The sequence below is a fragment of the Homo sapiens genome, chromosome 2, assembly GCF_000001405.40.
Source record: "Homo sapiens chromosome 2, GRCh38.p14 Primary Assembly".
In the NCBI taxonomy this organism is placed as follows: Eukaryota; Metazoa; Chordata; class Mammalia; order Primates; family Hominidae; genus Homo; species Homo sapiens.
The window spans coordinates 240,553,863-240,568,469 of record NC_000002.12 but is presented as its reverse complement, the minus strand read 5'-3'; the positions used below and the strand labels follow the sequence as shown (position 1 = coordinate 240,568,469).

Here is a 14,607-nt window from a genome sequence, read left to right as displayed (position 1 = left end):
CCGGCCCGGCCCCGCGCCGTGCGCCGCCCCGCTCGGGCTCCGCTCGGCCGCCGCCGGGGGCGCTGTGCGCGGGGCCGGGGCGCGGGGCCGGGGCGCCGGGCGGGGAGGGCCAGGAGCCAGGGGCGCGGGGAGCCGGGGAATCGAGCGCGGCGCGGGGCCGGGGCGCTGTGTTGGGAGCCGAGGCGCGCGGAGCGGGTGAGCAGCACCCCCAGCCCCTCGCTTCCTCCCCGGGCGGCGCCCGGGAGATCCCAGGAGGCGGGATCGCTGCTCCCTCCCAGACACTGCCGGCCAGGCCCCTGGGGCAGCCGCTGAAGGGACCCGGGAACCTTGGGGCCACAGGGGCAGGCTGCTTCCAGGTGTGGTTCGTGTTCCCGAGGAGCGCAGCGTCGCGAACTCAATGTCATCCTTTCATCCGGGGCTACGGGCAGGGCAGGATTCTCCTGGCACCCCTGCCACTCCTCCAAGTCTACAGGTGTGGTCTGTGCTGTGGGCCCTGCGGTGCGAGAAGCGCCGGAGCCTTCACGCAGCGCTGTCAACTACAGCAGCCACCAACCACGTGTGGCCATTTAGATGCGAATTAAATACAGTTAGAAGTTCAGTTCCTTCGTGGCAGGTGGAGTGAGTGAGTGTGTGTGTCTTCCTGGGAGGAGTGGCTAATGGACAAAGCAGGCAGGAATCATTTCCACAATCGCAGAAGTTCCTCTGGGCAGTGCTGGGGACCTCTCATTTGGGAGCCCTGTGCTGGGGTACGAAGGAGGGTCTGGCCCGCCTGTCCCCACCCCATCCGCCAGGTCCACCCTTCCCAACGCCATTCTCTGTGGACCTGGCGAAGGCTGCCCAAGGCTGAGCCTGTCCAGGAGCCTGAGCCCCGAGGGAAGGGGTGCTCGCCTGGCAGAAGCTGCTAGTGAGCTCACAGCGGTTAAATTTTGAGGCTGTGGAATAACAGGGGCCACCATGATGTCGCTGTTGTCATCAAGTAAGAATTCAAATTCCTAGGGACAAGGGGCTTCTGGGGCTGGGGAACTATCCAGGAACCCAGGACACCTCTCTCTTCTGCTCCATTGAGGTGTGGCCGTGCAGGGCTGGACTCGGGTACCGCACTCGACTCAGCGTCAGCCCTGAGTAGTGTTTCCTGTGTCTGGACTCAGTCTCCTCGTTGTGTAACCCTCTGTGTCTACCCTCCTTCCGTGGGGCGGGAAGGAAGGCTGAGAGGGAGAGTGTGCGTTCACGTTTGCGGGACAGAGCACTGAGGCATCATTTCAGTTTTCCCGTAGGACCTCAGGTCCCCACGTGCCCTCTTTAGGGACACGGCCACGATCTTGGGGCACCCATCCCAAACTCACCAGGAACCCCTAGGCTTACACAGTCACTCAGAGGTGTGGATCAGCCTCGCATCCAAGGCTGACAGGGAAGACAGCTGAGATGGGACCCTCCTCACTGCCCCCAGCGCCCTGCCCGGTGGGGCCCTGCAGTGCCAAGGGCAGACTGTTTTCGATGGCACCCCCAGTTCTACGGGGCTCTCCAGAGCCCACCGGGCCATGTTCCTGGCTGGAAGAACCTCAGTTCTGCACACGCGGTGCCACACTAGCTGGGCCTGGCCGTCCGGGGGGCAAGTCACCACAGGGAGCTTGGGGTCTTGCCACCCAGAGCCCCGCATTGGGCTCAGGGAGCAGAGGTTGGGGTCTCGCCCTGGGCACCTCTCCGCGGCCAGTTCTGCACACAGGAGTCCAGAGTTGCTGTGGCACCTCCTCCCCGGGGGCCCAAGGGAGCGCCTCCCACCGCGCACGTATGTGAGGAGCTGCCCTACTGCACCCCATGGAGCGGGAGGCGCGGCTGAGCCGAGGGGGCGGGGTCTGCAACTGAGCCGCGGGAGCCTCTCGCGCCGGCCCCGCCCCGCCCCGCCCCGCCCGAGGAGGCCCCGCCCCCGCCGGCCTGACGCCCCCTGGCGGCGGGAGGCTACGCCGCATGCAGGCCTGGGCAGACACCTCTGACTTCTCTAACCCTGGCAGAGGAGCCTGGACGTCGCGACTGTCAGCCCTGGCTTTCTCCCACAGGAGTTTTCATACTCCAGCTTTTTGGTGATCAGCGCAGTGAAGTGGCTGCGCGGCATCTGCACCCCAGCCTTCCCCTGATGCACCCGAGGGAGGGGTTCCTGGCTTCACCCACTAGGAGGTGGGTGTGGGCATGGAGCGTTTTAGCAGGCTGGGGAGGGCAGCAAAGCTTCCAGGAAGAAGCAGTGTTCAGACAGGGCCGCGCCCAACCCCGACAGAGGACCAGGGAGCTACCAGTTCTCAGATGGAGCTGGTGGGCTAAAAAGGTCTGATGTGACCCACAGGTGTCCTTCAACCTGGCCGGGGCCCTGCTGCCCTTGTCCCCTTGTCACCAGGGCCAGGTCAGCAGGTAAAGGGTGTGCCCTGCCCTGAGGCAAGGGCAGCCGAGGTTTTCATCAGGGTGTTGTGAGCAGGGCTGAGCCGCGGGGGAAACCGCAGACCCAGGTCCTCCCTCCTCTCCAAGCCACTGTTCCTCACCCACTAGTGGCGACCGGCGGCTGCTTCCTTCCGGGTTGATGAAAAGGTTGCATGAGTCATGAGGAGCTTATCTAGAGAGGCCAGCGGCAGGCAAGCCCTCCACAGAGATGGGGACTGCCCTGGGCACCAGCTTGTGATGGGGGCCGCGGTCCACAGCGATGGGTGGTGCCGGCTGGTGACACGGCATAGAGGGGCAGCGACCAACAAGGTGTGGCCTATGCTTGAGGCCCAGGTACACAAGGCGTGGGGAGGGAGAAGGCCCTTCTCACTACCACCCCCACGCTTGGCTGACAAAACCCGTGCTTCCCATCCCCCCAGCTTTGGGCTCTGCCGCATCAGAGATGTTCGGTCCCCAGGTGGGATGCTTTTGCTTAGGAACACAATCGGGTCTCACTGGGAGGGTGGCTCAGACACGGCCCAGCCACGGAAGCATGAGACAACACAGGGCTGGCTCTGGCAGGTGGGCATGAGGCTTTGTGAGGCTTGGGGGCCAGGAAGAGTGGTGCCTCCTACTTCTCTCTGGTGGTGCAGTACAGGTAACGGAGGCCACAGCACCTGTGTGGGCAGCCATGCAGGGCCTGGGGCCTTAAAAATGAAGGATCGAGTCATGCCACCAGGTGAAGGCCATAAGCAGCTTAGGCACTGGCTGAGGGTAGAACATGGAACGAGTATTGGAAAAGGCAGATAAGCACCAACCACAGTATTTTACTCATTGACGCATACAGAATGTAAATACGCGTAGTTGTATATATTAACCAATGACTACGTTATCTGTGATTCACATGTATTACACACATTTTCCTTTTCTTTCCCCACTCCTATTTAAGGAGTGTTGATTCTAGGATAGTCTTTAGGCCACAGGATGTCCAGGAGAGGTGGTGTCTGAACTAGAGAAGGAATCAACATGCTTGGATGCCTCCAGTGGTGGCTTATGGGGTTCCACCCTCACACGGCGGGAGAGGCAGCACCTTGTTGGCTTGACAGTAGCTATGTGACCTTAAGTTGGGGTGCAATGTTGGTGAAACAGAGATCAAAGTAGGAGAGGGGTGCAGATGCTGGAGGCCTCCCGGGTTCCCTCACCAGGCCGTCTGTCAGCACAGCCTCCTTCTCCCCTGCCTGTCACAGGAGGGGCTTCCCATGTTCGGTGCCCAGATGAGACCAGTGAGAGGTCTGGGAGGTGGGAGGAAGGAGATGTACTGTGGCTTCAGCAGCTGGTGGGCAGGAGGCTCTGCTGGCAGCTCCAGGTGCCCTCCACAGCCAGGACATCAGGCAGTGGGGATCTGGGTGGCAGGTCCCTGTGACTCCCCTATGTCTCCTCTCCTGTCCTTGGCTCCCCAGCCTTCTTCTCCCTGCATTCAGTTTCTTTCTGCCCAGTTCCTTAAGTGGTTTAGATTTTCCTGACCAAGGCTTGTTTAATAAGCTGAGCTGACCAGAGGGAGAGGACGGAGCAGATGGTGGTGCAGGGGTCCATGTGGTCTGATGCGCAGACCCTTGCCCCACCAGCAAGAGGGGACAGAGACCCTCTGGAGCTGCATTTCCGGAAGATGGGGCTTAACTGGGAAAAATGAAAACTCAGTGTGGAGGCGAGTGCACTGGGCGGCCGTGGTGCCGTGGGACCATGGACCTCAGAGGGCACTGGTGGCAGGACCGCAGAGCGGGCCCTTCAGGCCACTTCAGGGCCACTGAGGTGGAGGATTCTCTTGTGAAGAAAGCAGTAGGAAGGATGGAAAACCATACTTCCTAGACAGGCATCTGGAGCAGTTTCAGTTTTGATTGCTGTTATTACTACTGATAACTGAGCAAAAGTGGTGATGATGCTTGAGAGAAATTTCTGCAACCCACAGTCAGCAATTATATGTACAGCCAAGTACAGCGTGTGCTCATTTCTCCCTCGATTTTTGAATCTGCAGTTTACCAAAGCTGCCAATGCTTTCTTATTATTATTTTATTGCAGCAAATTCCAGATGTGTCTCCAACGGGAAAATATACAACCCTCTTGCCTTTGATGATTATTCTTATGATTTCAGGCATTAAAGAGGTTATATACATCATAAATGACATGGCAGACAAAATAGTTAAGGAACACAAAACTGTTATGACAAGATTCATGGGACACGTTTAAGTGGAAAGAGGTGAATGTGGGTGACACTGTGAAGGCCTCGAATGGGGAGCTCCTTCCTGCAGACACAGTCCCGATGTGTTCATATAGCAACATCTAATCCGGATAGAGAGACAAATGTAAGACACGGCAGGCTTTGCCAGAAACAGCTGAAATGCAAACAGAAAACCAGCTGTTAGGCCTATCTGGAAAAATAGACCGTGAAGCACCTGATCGTCATTTCAATGGCTGAGCTTCCGCCTAGGTGGTAAAAGCCCTGTTCCAATAGGGCCTGACTGGGTCTTGTTAAGAGATACACAGCTTAGAAATGCTCAGTGGATTGGCCGGGCGAGGTGGCTCACGCCTGTAATCCCAGCGCTTTGGGAGGCCGAGGCGGGAGGATCATGAGGTCAGGAGATTGAGACCATCCTGGCTAACACAGTGAAACCCCGTCTCTACCAAAAATACAAAGAAATTAGCTAGGCGTGGTGGCGGGCGCCTGTAATCCCAGCCACTCAGGAGGCTGAAGGACGAGAATGGCATGAAGCCGGGAGGCGGAGCTTGCAGTGAGCCAAGATGGCGCCCACTCCAGCCTGGGCACCAGAGTGAGACTCCGTCTCAAGAAAAAAAAAAAAGAAATGCTCAGTGGATCACTGGCATAGTTGTTTACACTGGCTTTGAAACCAAATTCCTGCAGAATTCTGTCAAATCACCTCAAGAGATCAGAGATTAAGAAAGTGACAATGGGCGGGTCTCCCTTTGGTTCCTGCTGCTCTGGTCATGTCTGTAGTGAGCTGCGTGGGAGCCGTGCTATGGAATAAAAAGTATGGTGACATTTGGTACCTGAAAGAGGATTCCAGCTCACAGCATTGTGTTTGACATACTGGTGTTCATCATCTTATAACAGTACCTCATCCCCATTAGTCTGCTGGTCACTATGGAAATTGTGAAATATATTCAGGCCCAGTTTATAAACTGGGATCAAGATGTGCATTATAAAGTAAATAGTGTCCACACCATGGCCAGCACATTCAATCTCAGTGAAGAACTTGGGCAGGTAAAATTTCTATTTTCTGATAAAATGGGAACCCTCACTTGCAATGTTAAGACATTTAACAAGTACCACTGCAGGTGTCATTTATGGTGCAACACCTTCCATCCGAGCCCTGATATTTTAATTACCCCAGTTTATTGGAGAACATTGAGAATGGCCATCCCACAGAAAACTATATAGACCAATTTCTTACCCTGTTATCTGTGTGCCACACTGTTATCCCTGGAAATATTATAATCTACCAGGCTTCCTCCCCGGATGAAGCAGCTTTAGTGAAAGGAGCAAAAAAACTTGGCTTTGTTTCCCTACAGGAACACCATACTCTGTCACCGTAGAAGCCATGGGTGAAAAAATCACTTTTGAAATTCTTAATGTCCTGGAGTTCTCTAGTAATAGAAAAAGGAGGCTGGGCACGGTGGCTCACGCCTGTAATCCCAGCACTTTGGGAGGCTGAGGTGGGTGGATCACGAGGTCAGGAGTTTGAGACCATCCTGGCTAACATGGTGAAACCCCCCATCTCTACTAAAAATACAAAAAATTAGCCGGGTCTGGTGTCACACACCTGTAGTCCCAGCTACTCAGGAGGCTGAGGCAGGAGAATCACTTGAACCAGGGAGGCGGAGGTTGCAGTGAGCCGGGATTGCGCCACTGCACTCCAGCCTGGGCAACAGAGACTCTGTCTCAAACAAACAAACAAAAAAAAAGAAAGAGAGAAAGAAAAAGGATGTCCGTAATTGTCCGAACTCCTATGGGACAGCTCCAGCTGTATTGCAGAGGGGCTGATGAAGAGAATAATTCCCCAATCACCCAAGTTGCCCTTCAACAATGTCTTCATCAACAGCTTTCTTGATCTAAATGTCCCACGTGGGTATGCATTTTCTCAAACAGAAGCATCCGTGGTCACGCAGGAAGAACTAGTCCGTTCTTATGACACTACTAAAAATAAACACAAGAAGAGTTGCTTTTCCTGATTTCACCTATGACTCAGATTCTGATTACTGTAGTCTGTACTCATGTCCTTCCCTGAGACTGGTAGAATGCGCCGGCACCCCCAAACACTCAAGATTCTGGAGTGTAAATAATGGAGGATCCCTATTTGCTTTTTCTTAATTTGTCTTCGATGTTTTACCAAATGTATTTCTTTTTGTGTCTGTAAGATAATTTGTGCATCACCTCAGCCGGAAATATAAAATTAAAAGCACTATGTTTCACACACACACACACAAAGGAAAACTCGATATGACAGTGAGGAAGAAGGGTAAAGACCAGCCTTCTGTATCAGTGCAGGGACATCCTTCCTCCAGGCAGCAGGCCTTCAAGCTTCAAGCCTCAGGGCCCAACCCTAAGGCTGGGGGCTCTCCCTGCAGGCAGGACTGGGCCTGGAGGGCCTCCTCATACTTCTGGAGCTGAGACCAGAAGCCCGGGTTCGGTTCTGCTACCGGGCGAGCGCTCTTCACCATCTGCAAACAAGAAGTGTACTGAATAACCCCAAGTCGCGCTAATGGCCAGCAGGGGCCAAGGCGGGCCCAGCTGTAAGAGTGGGCCCCGCCCAACCCGGAAGTGCCTCTCTGCTTCCCTAAGCCCGCCCTCACGAGAGAGACCCGCCCCTCCCGGAAGTGCCTGTCCCAATCCCGAAGCCGGCCCCGCCCGGAAAACTCGTCCCCGGAAGACACGCCCCTCTCGAAACACCGCCCCCCTAAAGGCCCGCCCACCTGGAAGGCCTTCGCCAGGCTGAGGCCGCGGTGCCGCATGAGGTACGCGGTGCAGACGGCGGCCGAGCGGCTGCGGCCGTTCTTGCAGTAGACTAGGCAGGCGCCGCCGGCGCGCACCGCGGCCTCCATGGCGGCGCACGTGGGCTCCAGGTGCGCCAGCAGGTCCTCAGCCGGGTCGTCGAACACGGGCACGCGCAGCTCTGCCACGCCGGGCGCGCGCGGGCCGGGCTGCTGGCGGGAGACGTTGACGCACAGCGTGACTCCCGCGCGCGCCAGCTGCTCCTCCGCGCCCGCGGCTCGCGCGCTCCCGAGGAAGAGTGAGGGCGCGACGCGCACCAACGGTGGAGGTACGGGCGAGGCGGCCCCGCGGCGCCCAGCTTCTGCCGGTCCCATGGCGCCCGCCGAAGAGTCTGCTTTTGGGCCCTGAGGATCTATTTTGGGGGCTCAGGCGCCCGCCCAGGAGTCTATTTGTGGGAGCCGGGCGGGCCGCCGGGCGCCCCCGGGTCCTAGAGGCCTCCGAGGTGGACCAGGCTGGGGCTTGGGTCCCCCGCGGGCGCTGGGCCGGGACAGGGGGCTTGGGTCTCGTTGGGGCCGGGGCATGGCGGGAGGTTTGGGCCTCACCAGGGCGCCGGGGCCTTGGACCGCTCTGCGTCCCATGTTCTCTGTCCCCGGGCGCCGTCCTCCCCGCCCCCGCGGCCTGTGGCACTGGGCTTGCGTCTGTGGCTCTTGGGCGCAGCGCCCTGCCCGCTCTACTGCGGCGTCTGGCGCGGAGGCGTGGCTTGGCCGGGCCCGCCCACTTCGCGTCCGCGTCGTTCGGCTAGGGCCCCGTGGCTACCCGGTGCACGTGGACGGCGGGCTGCGTGGTTCCCGTGTCTTCACCCTTTCCCTAGTGACTGCGTTGTCGGCTTTACGTTTATTCCTTTTTGTGGCCCGCTTTGTAATTGGTGCATTTTTTTCTATGTATTATAACACATGGCTCATAAAATAAAACTAATTTCTATTTTCATCACTTCTTCATAGACCACACTATTCCTTTTGCTGTTTCTAAGTAATTTATTGGGGTCAGCATTGTAACTTTAAAAAATTTAATATCACTTAATGTCCATGAAATTGCCATTTAAGACTCCTTCAATTTTTCTGACATCTGGTAATTTTCAGGCAATGGATACACTGAAAAGCAACTGTCTCAACAGCCCTACAGACATTTAGCAATTGAAGTTTCAGTTGCATACAGTCTCTCTCTGGGTTATCGTCATTGCTTTGTCCATCAGCCTTCTAGCATTGGTAACTGTCAGATCTTTATTGCAGCCTGGGGTTCACTCTTGAGCTAAAGACTCAAATATGTCTGCAGCCAGGTCTTCCCTGGTTGCAGCTCCAGACATCACCTCCGTGGAGGTCTTATCAGCATCTGTTTCCCACTTCCTCCACCCTAAGGAAGGACTCCAACTTTCCTAGGATGGAGGAGTGGAATTCCCTTTTTTTCCCTGGCGTTCATGGGAGCCATTGATTAGGTTGGGACACTGTCTCCCTCCGCTTTCTAGGAGTTGGCTCTGTCTCTGGCCAAAAGTGAAGGCCACACTCCCGTGACTGCTCTGGGAATGAGCTTGGTGTCTAATAACCCATGAAGGAGAGAGCACTTTGGAAGGCTCCTCTGTTCTCTCATGGCCATAAGGGGAAGCCAGCCTTGGGTGAAAGCAGAGGAGATGGGAGAGCCAAGGTCCTTGATGCCACTGTTGGGCCACTGAAATGAATCAAACAAAACCTGAAGTCCCTCCTCCTCCTGGACTGTTTCATGAATCATCATCACCCTTTACGGTTGGAGGATGGTTGAGGTGGGTTTTCTGCTCCAAAGCCTGCTACTTGAACCATCATGCTCCCACTCCATTGAGGTAATGGATTGGGAACCAATTCATCCTAAGTGTCTCTGCATCTCATTGCCACACTTAGTCTGGGCCAGCCTCTGTCTCCTGGACTTGGTGCTAGTCCCCCACAGTGTAACCAGAATGTGCTTGCTAAGAACAGAGGGTTTCTACATGTTGGTTCTGACTCCTTAGCAAGTTGTAATTCACAACTAATGTGGGTTGTGAAATCAATTCTGTGGGTCATGATCAGCATTTTAGTTTTTAGAGAAATAATAGACTACATGAAAATATTAGAGTGCATGCATGTAGTATGCCGAACTTTTAATGAAACATTTTTCTGAGTGGTTTGTACTGGGTCGTGGTGTAAAATGAGATTTTAGAGAGAAGTGAACTCAACAGACAGGCACTGGCGTGTGGAGGCAGAGCCCCTAGAACCCCAGAATCCTGGCCCAGCCTTAGTCCTTAGTCCCCGGAAAGCTAGCCAGTGGGGAGGGCCAGGGCATCAGCTCTTCACACCCCCTGCCCTGTTCTCAGAGGCAGTCTGGGTTGAGAAAACGCAAGCCCTGCACCTCCAAGAGCCTCTCCCCTCTTTGCAGGAAGGCCCAGCTGTTTCCCACCATGGTGCCTCTGTACATCCCAGTCCAGTTCCTGAAATGCGCTCTGTAGCCTGGAGAGCTCCTGCGCATCCTGTGAAGCCCCATCAAGAATCCGCTCTCCTGCAGTCCTTCCCCGAGGCCCTCGGAGGGTCCAAGACAGCCAATCCCTCTTCTCTGCGGTGACTCTTGCGGCCTCCCTCATCTCGTTCCCTCCGCAGGCCTCGAGTTACCCTTGCGCCTTCCACATTTACTGAATGAACAAAGGCCGGGGCTGGAATCAGGCAGGGCTTGAGCAAGTCGTGGCTCCACGTGCTAGGTGATCAGGGCAAGTTAATTAACACTTGGGCCTCAGTTTCCTCAGGTGTCCCACGGCGCTCCCTGTGCCCCCATCACGGGAGTGTTGGGGGAATTTAGCGCTTTCTCTCCCAGGGGTACTCGGCCCAGGGGCTGACCGGGTAAGCGGGAGGCTGGCACCGAGGCCCGCGGGGTGTCGGCCCCAAGCCCCTGAAGTCACAGAGGGCGGGCACGCCCGGAGGCGGGGCCGGGTGCGTCCTGGCGGGGGGATTGGCGGAGCCGGAGAGTGGCAGCGGGCATGGGGCGGGGCTGTCTCCAGGGAAACGCGACGCTCTCCGTAGGCGCAGGGCTGGCAAGCAGTCGGGACGGGAGCGCGGGCGTCCGCGGTGGCTGCAGTCCCGTCGGTCTCCCTGCTGTCCGGCGCGAGCTCTTCGAGTCTTGCTTGGTGCGGTCTCGCGACAGGAGCGCTGGGAGCCGGGGCTAGGGGGATCCCGGAGCTCCGTGGGGCGGCGGGTGCGGGGGGGCGCCAGGCTCGCGGTCCCCACCCCAGGGAGGGGCCGAGGGGCTGGGGGCGTGGGGTTAGGTGGGCGCGGCGTCTCCCGAGCCCACCCTCGAGCGCTGGCTTCAGAGGCCCGTGGCTGAGACCCGCTGTTAGCGGCGCCTCCTGGGCGATAGTGGGTGCGGGCCTGGCCTGGCCACGTGGCCGCGACCGCCCTTGCTGTGATTCCCGCCCACGAAGGGACAGGGACACCTGGGGACGCGGGTGAAGTTTACCCATGGTTCCGACAGGTCTCCCTGAGGACTCCCAGGGATGGTGGTCCGGGACCTGTGGGTGGCGGCCCAGGCTCCGGCGCGGTTCAGGGAGGGGCTTGGGTTCTCTGAGGCTCAGGGGCCGCGGGCCGGGCCTCGGGCGCCCTCTGAGTTCGCGGCGGGAGCCCTGGGGGCACATGTGCGGTCCTGACGTCGCTTGCAGGTTGGAAGACCACAGACATGGAAGGGGCCCATGCCTCCCTTAGCTTAGAGGACGAAGTCTCTGGGGCTGGCAGCCGCCAACGCCCGCTAGAGGGGAAGGGCGGCGAGACCCCTGCTGCCGAGGAGCCGGGGTCCCTGAAGAACTACGCTGTCTTCGCCACAAGGTGCGGGGGACCCTCCAGCGGGGAGGTCCGACCCTGACCTGGGGCCCAGGGTTAGCCGGGATTCTCCTTAAGGCAAGCAGTAAAAATCCCTGAACTGTGTTACTCCCTGAGAAACTAGTTTCTGGAGAAATCTGAAAGCCTCAACACTGTGTCAGCAACCTACTGAGGAAAACGACAATAGATGGTAATTGGAACCTTCTCATGTCCCTTCCTGCCTGCACACTCTGCCACCCGTGTCGCCGCCTAGTGGAGGGAGGGAACGTTTCCCTCACGAGATGGGGCTCCCAAGCTGTCTCCATCTTCACAGCTCTGTTGTTCACAGCCAGGGGCTGCCCTGGAGTCTCACTGCAGCATCTCACGAGGTCCCCCTGTCACCCCATCGTGCTTGTCCCTGTTTGTGGGCCTCCAAAACTCAGTCCCAGCCCTGGCCCAGTGTGATGGGTGTTGGGGACCAGCCTCAACACCACCCGTAGAGTGCCCAAAGTCTAGTGGGGACAAAGGATTGAGAAGAGACAGGTTAAGAATTGAAAGGTGGGGAGCCAGGGGGCCAGTTGCAAAATGGAGGCTGCAAAGGGCTCAGAGTTCTGGTCTCCACACTGTTTATTGAGCACACTTAGATCTGAGAAGCAGATGTTCAGGGCGAAACAGTGAAAGGGTGGCAGTGTGTCATAGGTGTAATCTATAGCAATATTGGTTTCAGTGAATCTCCTTTGTGCTCAAACAGCATATCTTTTAACTTATCGGAGAGTAACTGGTGGGAGCGGGCTTAGCTAGGAGCCTGCATGTCTGTCCACAGTCCAGGGCTTCAAAGGAGAGTCTTTCTCCTTGAACACAGTGTTTACAGATAAGAGAGCGGATCTCGCTCTGGGCATGGGAACATGATGGCAATTAGGAGGCTTTCCTCCTCAGAGGCCTCTTGTGGCTTTCCACAACTTATTGTCCCATATTTTCATGGCCTGTTTATGCAGGCACCCCACAAGCCCTTTTCCCACAAGCCCTTTTCCCAACAATGGGCTTTGGGAGGTGGCTGGGTTTAGATGGGGTGGTGAAGATGGAGCCCATGATGGGATGAGTGTACCTATGAGAAGCAGAAGAGCCCAGAGTTCCCCCATCCTCTCTCACTACCATGTGGGGAGCCAATGAGAAGGCGGCTCCACAGGCCAGGAAGAGGACCCTCCCTAGGCAGGGACGCTGCTGGCACCTTGGCCAGGGACGGCCGCCCTGCACAGCTGAGAACGGAAGGCCCTTTGAGACGCCCCATCCATCTGTGGGGGTCTCAGATGCTCTGTCCGTCTGGGGGGGAACTGAGATGCCCTGTCCATCTTTCATGGTCTGAGGCACCCCATCCACCTGTGTTGGTCTGGGATGCCCTGTCCTTCTGTAGGGGTCTGAGACACCCCATCCATCTGTGGAGGTCTGAGGCACCACGCCTTTTGTGGTCTGAGATGCCACGTCCGTCTGTGATGGTCTAAGACGCCCCATCCGTCTGTGGTGGTCTGAGACGCCCTGTCCATCTGTGGGGGGTCTGACATGCCCTGTCTGTCTGTGGACGCCCTATGAGTTACGGCAAATCCACCCTGGTTTGTGCTCCCCGCTGTTGCAGCATACTCCCCAGCCCTGCATCCATCCATCTGTCCACCTATCCACCTGTCCATCCTAGTATGAGCTGGCTGCCTCTCGAGCTGCCTTCCGACCTTCCATGGGTCCACATGTGTGGGCAGTCTGTTTTCTGTCCAGCTTGGGGCTGGCACTCCTGGCCCTTGAATGAGGACCCTGCTGTGGGCACCCACGTCCTGCAGGCAGCTGGAGTGGGACAGAGGGCCATCGATCTCAGGAGATGCCGCCAGCAGGCCCGGGCTGGACAGGCCGACTGGTCCTGCCTCTAGAGCCTGGCAGCATCTCTCCTATCCGTTGGCAGCCTTACTGTGCATTCCACTTCCTGTGTGGCCTTGGGCAATCGCTGCACCCTCTGTGCCTCGGTTTTCTCTCCAAGTGGAGTGGGGATGCAGCGGCACCTGCCCCGGGACTGTGGGATGAAATGAGATGCTGGGTTGTGCTCGGGGGTTGTGCTCAGCAGTCACTGAAGGCACTGCAGCCACTTCACTCTTCCCTCCTTCTGCTCCTGTCCTTTTAGGGATGTTTCAGCAGCCCCTGAGAAGGAAGAGGAGGAAGCTGAGGGCCCGCTGAGGGCGCAGGACCTGAGGGAGTCCTACATCCAGCTCGTCCAGGGTGTGCAGGAGTGGCAGGATGGTTGCATGTACCAGGGGGAGTTTGGGTTGAACATGAAGCTTGGATATGGCAAATTCTCTTGGCCCACAGGCGAGGTAACTGCTTCCACACTTTCTCCGCCTCCTCCCCTAGGGCCTCTGGTGGCTGGCCTTTATCCTTCCAAGAGTGATGGGACGGGAACTTTTAGGCCCATCAACAGGAAGGGTGCTAGGCTAAAGTTTTTCCTCCTTGAGAAATGTCCAGAGAAAAGCATCTTTCCCAACTTCCAAAATCACACCCATGGTTTGCTGGGGTCCCAGGATGAGGTTTGGGAAGCTGTGACTTAAGAAGATAAGTTCTTATTCTGGGCAGACGTTTTAAAATTATGAATTGCCATAGCAACTCGTATATTTACCTTGGTGAAATTGCCTGTGTCTAGGCTTAAGCAGAAGGCAGCGAATGTTCTAAAAGACAAAATGAGAACAAGTTTTGCACCCCCAGGCTAGGTCCTGAGCCCACATTCAATGCAGCTGAAACTGAAAAGGCCTCTGTTGGCGCTTGCCATGGAAAGTCCAGGGGTAAGGTAGCCTCAGGCCTGGCTGGATCCAGGATTCTAATGATGTAACTAGGTCCTCTCTCTTTCCATCTCCACGAGGGGGTTCTAAGACTGACCTTGTTCCATCTGCCCAGCCCCTGGGGGTGGCATCAAACACCCCTGGGAAAGAGAAAGGCCCCAGCAGGACGCTGGTCTGACTTGGGGATGCATGAAGTGCATCAAGATGGGGCAGGGGTAAGGCGTCCTCTGGTTGGCCAGGCCTGGCCCAGGCACTGGGGCTGGGTCCCTTGGGGAATCCTCTCTGTAGGGAGAGGGCATCTGTTGTCAGAAGAAAGGGAAGGGACACTAAGCTGTGAAAACTGCCATGCCCTTCACGTCGGGGTCAGGTCTGGGTGGACTGTGAGCATGGATGGCTGTGCGGGCACTCCAGGCCCACCCTGTTTCTGAGAAAAAGGTGGTGCTTGGCACTCAGCATGAGGTCTCCTGGCTGGAAGCCCTTGTCATGAATGTCACATTCTTTTTTTTTTTCGAGATGGAATTTCACTCTTGTTGCCCAGGCTGGA

General features: G+C 56.9%; 2 protein-coding genes across 86 annotated transcripts in view, besides 12 other annotated features; one reads left to right on the top strand and one right to left on the bottom strand.

The window, feature by feature from the left end:
* Positions 10-269: a silencer, noted in NCBI's record as "silent region_12517". NCBI's record gives its function as "represses an Ori minimal core promoter by ATAC-STARR-seq in GM12878 lymphoblastoid cells {active_cell/tissue: GM12878}" and the evidence as "EXISTENCE:reporter gene assay evidence [ECO:0000049][PMID:35858748]".
* Positions 1,780-2,019: a silencer, noted in NCBI's record as "silent region_12516". NCBI's record gives its function as "represses an Ori minimal core promoter by ATAC-STARR-seq in GM12878 lymphoblastoid cells {active_cell/tissue: GM12878}" and the evidence as "EXISTENCE:reporter gene assay evidence [ECO:0000049][PMID:35858748]".
* Positions 3,214-8,416, bottom strand: DUSP28 (dual specificity phosphatase 28). 2 transcript variants are annotated; one of them, NM_001033575.1, is made up of 3 exons: positions 7,393-8,416; positions 6,951-7,140; positions 4,456-4,796 (listed from the first exon to the last, which is right to left on the bottom strand). In NM_001033575.1, the coding sequence occupies exons 1-2, from the start codon at positions 7,783-7,785 to the stop codon at positions 7,003-7,005; spliced, it is 531 nt and encodes a 176-aa protein (NP_001028747.1). In that variant the 5' UTR covers positions 7,786-8,416; the 3' UTR covers positions 4,456-4,796; positions 6,951-7,002. The 2 variants fall into 2 exon arrangements, with proteins under 2 accessions (NP_001357394.1, NP_001028747.1); NM_001370465.2 differs by having other exon boundaries at positions 3,214-7,140; positions 7,393-8,113.
* Positions 3,490-3,569: an enhancer, noted in NCBI's record as "active region_17401". NCBI's record gives its function as "activates an Ori minimal core promoter by ATAC-STARR-seq in GM12878 lymphoblastoid cells {active_cell/tissue: GM12878}" and the evidence as "EXISTENCE:reporter gene assay evidence [ECO:0000049][PMID:35858748]".
* Positions 3,700-3,849: an enhancer, noted in NCBI's record as "active region_17400". NCBI's record gives its function as "activates an Ori minimal core promoter by ATAC-STARR-seq in GM12878 lymphoblastoid cells {active_cell/tissue: GM12878}" and the evidence as "EXISTENCE:reporter gene assay evidence [ECO:0000049][PMID:35858748]".
* Positions 6,895-7,254: an enhancer, noted in NCBI's record as "active region_17399". NCBI's record gives its function as "activates an Ori minimal core promoter by ATAC-STARR-seq in GM12878 lymphoblastoid cells {active_cell/tissue: GM12878}" and the evidence as "EXISTENCE:reporter gene assay evidence [ECO:0000049][PMID:35858748]".
* Positions 7,285-7,354: an enhancer, noted in NCBI's record as "active region_17398". NCBI's record gives its function as "activates an Ori minimal core promoter by ATAC-STARR-seq in GM12878 lymphoblastoid cells {active_cell/tissue: GM12878}" and the evidence as "EXISTENCE:reporter gene assay evidence [ECO:0000049][PMID:35858748]".
* Positions 7,387-7,528: an enhancer, noted in NCBI's record as "conserved acetylation island sequence C08". NCBI's record gives its function as "activates a minimal heat-shock promoter by reporter assays in Jurkat T cells {active_cell/tissue: Jurkat}" and the evidence as "EXISTENCE:reporter gene assay evidence [ECO:0000049][PMID:17135569]".
* Positions 7,406-14,607, top strand: part of ANKMY1 (ankyrin repeat and MYND domain containing 1) — a 92,433-nt gene continuing 85,231 nt past the window's right edge. For 34 of the 84 annotated variants that reach the window (XR_007076387.1, XM_047444678.1, XM_047444674.1 and 31 more), the window contains exons 1-3: positions 7,406-7,739; positions 11,118-11,280; positions 13,415-13,604. Coding sequence is in view for 66 of the 84 variants with exons in the window: in XM_047444678.1 (XP_047300634.1) it covers positions 7,520-7,739; positions 11,118-11,280; positions 13,415-13,604 (573 nt within the window). In the remaining 18 variants the exon portion in view is untranslated. Of the gene's footprint in view, positions 10,167-10,481; positions 10,590-11,117; positions 11,281-13,414; positions 13,605-14,607 lie in introns of those variants that run through there. The other 50 variants (NR_171698.1, NR_171696.1, NR_148697.3 and 47 more) reach the window with 9 other exon arrangements.
* Positions 7,625-7,674: a silencer, noted in NCBI's record as "silent region_12515". NCBI's record gives its function as "represses an Ori minimal core promoter by ATAC-STARR-seq in GM12878 lymphoblastoid cells {active_cell/tissue: GM12878}" and the evidence as "EXISTENCE:reporter gene assay evidence [ECO:0000049][PMID:35858748]".
* Positions 7,855-8,264: a silencer, noted in NCBI's record as "silent region_12514". NCBI's record gives its function as "represses an Ori minimal core promoter by ATAC-STARR-seq in GM12878 lymphoblastoid cells {active_cell/tissue: GM12878}" and the evidence as "EXISTENCE:reporter gene assay evidence [ECO:0000049][PMID:35858748]".
* Positions 10,323-10,542: a silencer, noted in NCBI's record as "silent region_12513". NCBI's record gives its function as "represses an Ori minimal core promoter by ATAC-STARR-seq in GM12878 lymphoblastoid cells {active_cell/tissue: GM12878}" and the evidence as "EXISTENCE:reporter gene assay evidence [ECO:0000049][PMID:35858748]".
* Positions 11,586-11,655: an enhancer, noted in NCBI's record as "active region_17397". NCBI's record gives its function as "activates an Ori minimal core promoter by ATAC-STARR-seq in GM12878 lymphoblastoid cells {active_cell/tissue: GM12878}" and the evidence as "EXISTENCE:reporter gene assay evidence [ECO:0000049][PMID:35858748]".
* Positions 12,788-13,288: an enhancer, noted in NCBI's record as "H3K4me1 hESC enhancer chr2:241494599-241495099 (GRCh37/hg19 assembly coordinates)". NCBI's record gives its function as "activates a minimal SCP1, AML or CMV promoter by ChIP-STARR-seq in naive H9 embryonic stem cells {active_cell/tissue: H9 hESC(naive)}" and the evidence as "EXISTENCE:reporter gene assay evidence [ECO:0000049][PMID:30033119]".

What these genes read in the sequence shown, in the direction of transcription:
- DUSP28 (NM_001033575.1), bottom strand. Translation starts at nt 7,785, where the DNA reads ATGGGACCGGCAGAAGCTGGGCGCCGCGGGGCCGCCTCGCCCGTACCT. An exon ending in GCCTGGCGAAGGCCTTCCAG is followed by an intron (nt 7,141 to 7,392) that starts GTGGGCGGGCCT and finishes TCTTGTTTGCAG; the next exon opens with ATGGTGAAGAGCGCTCGCCC.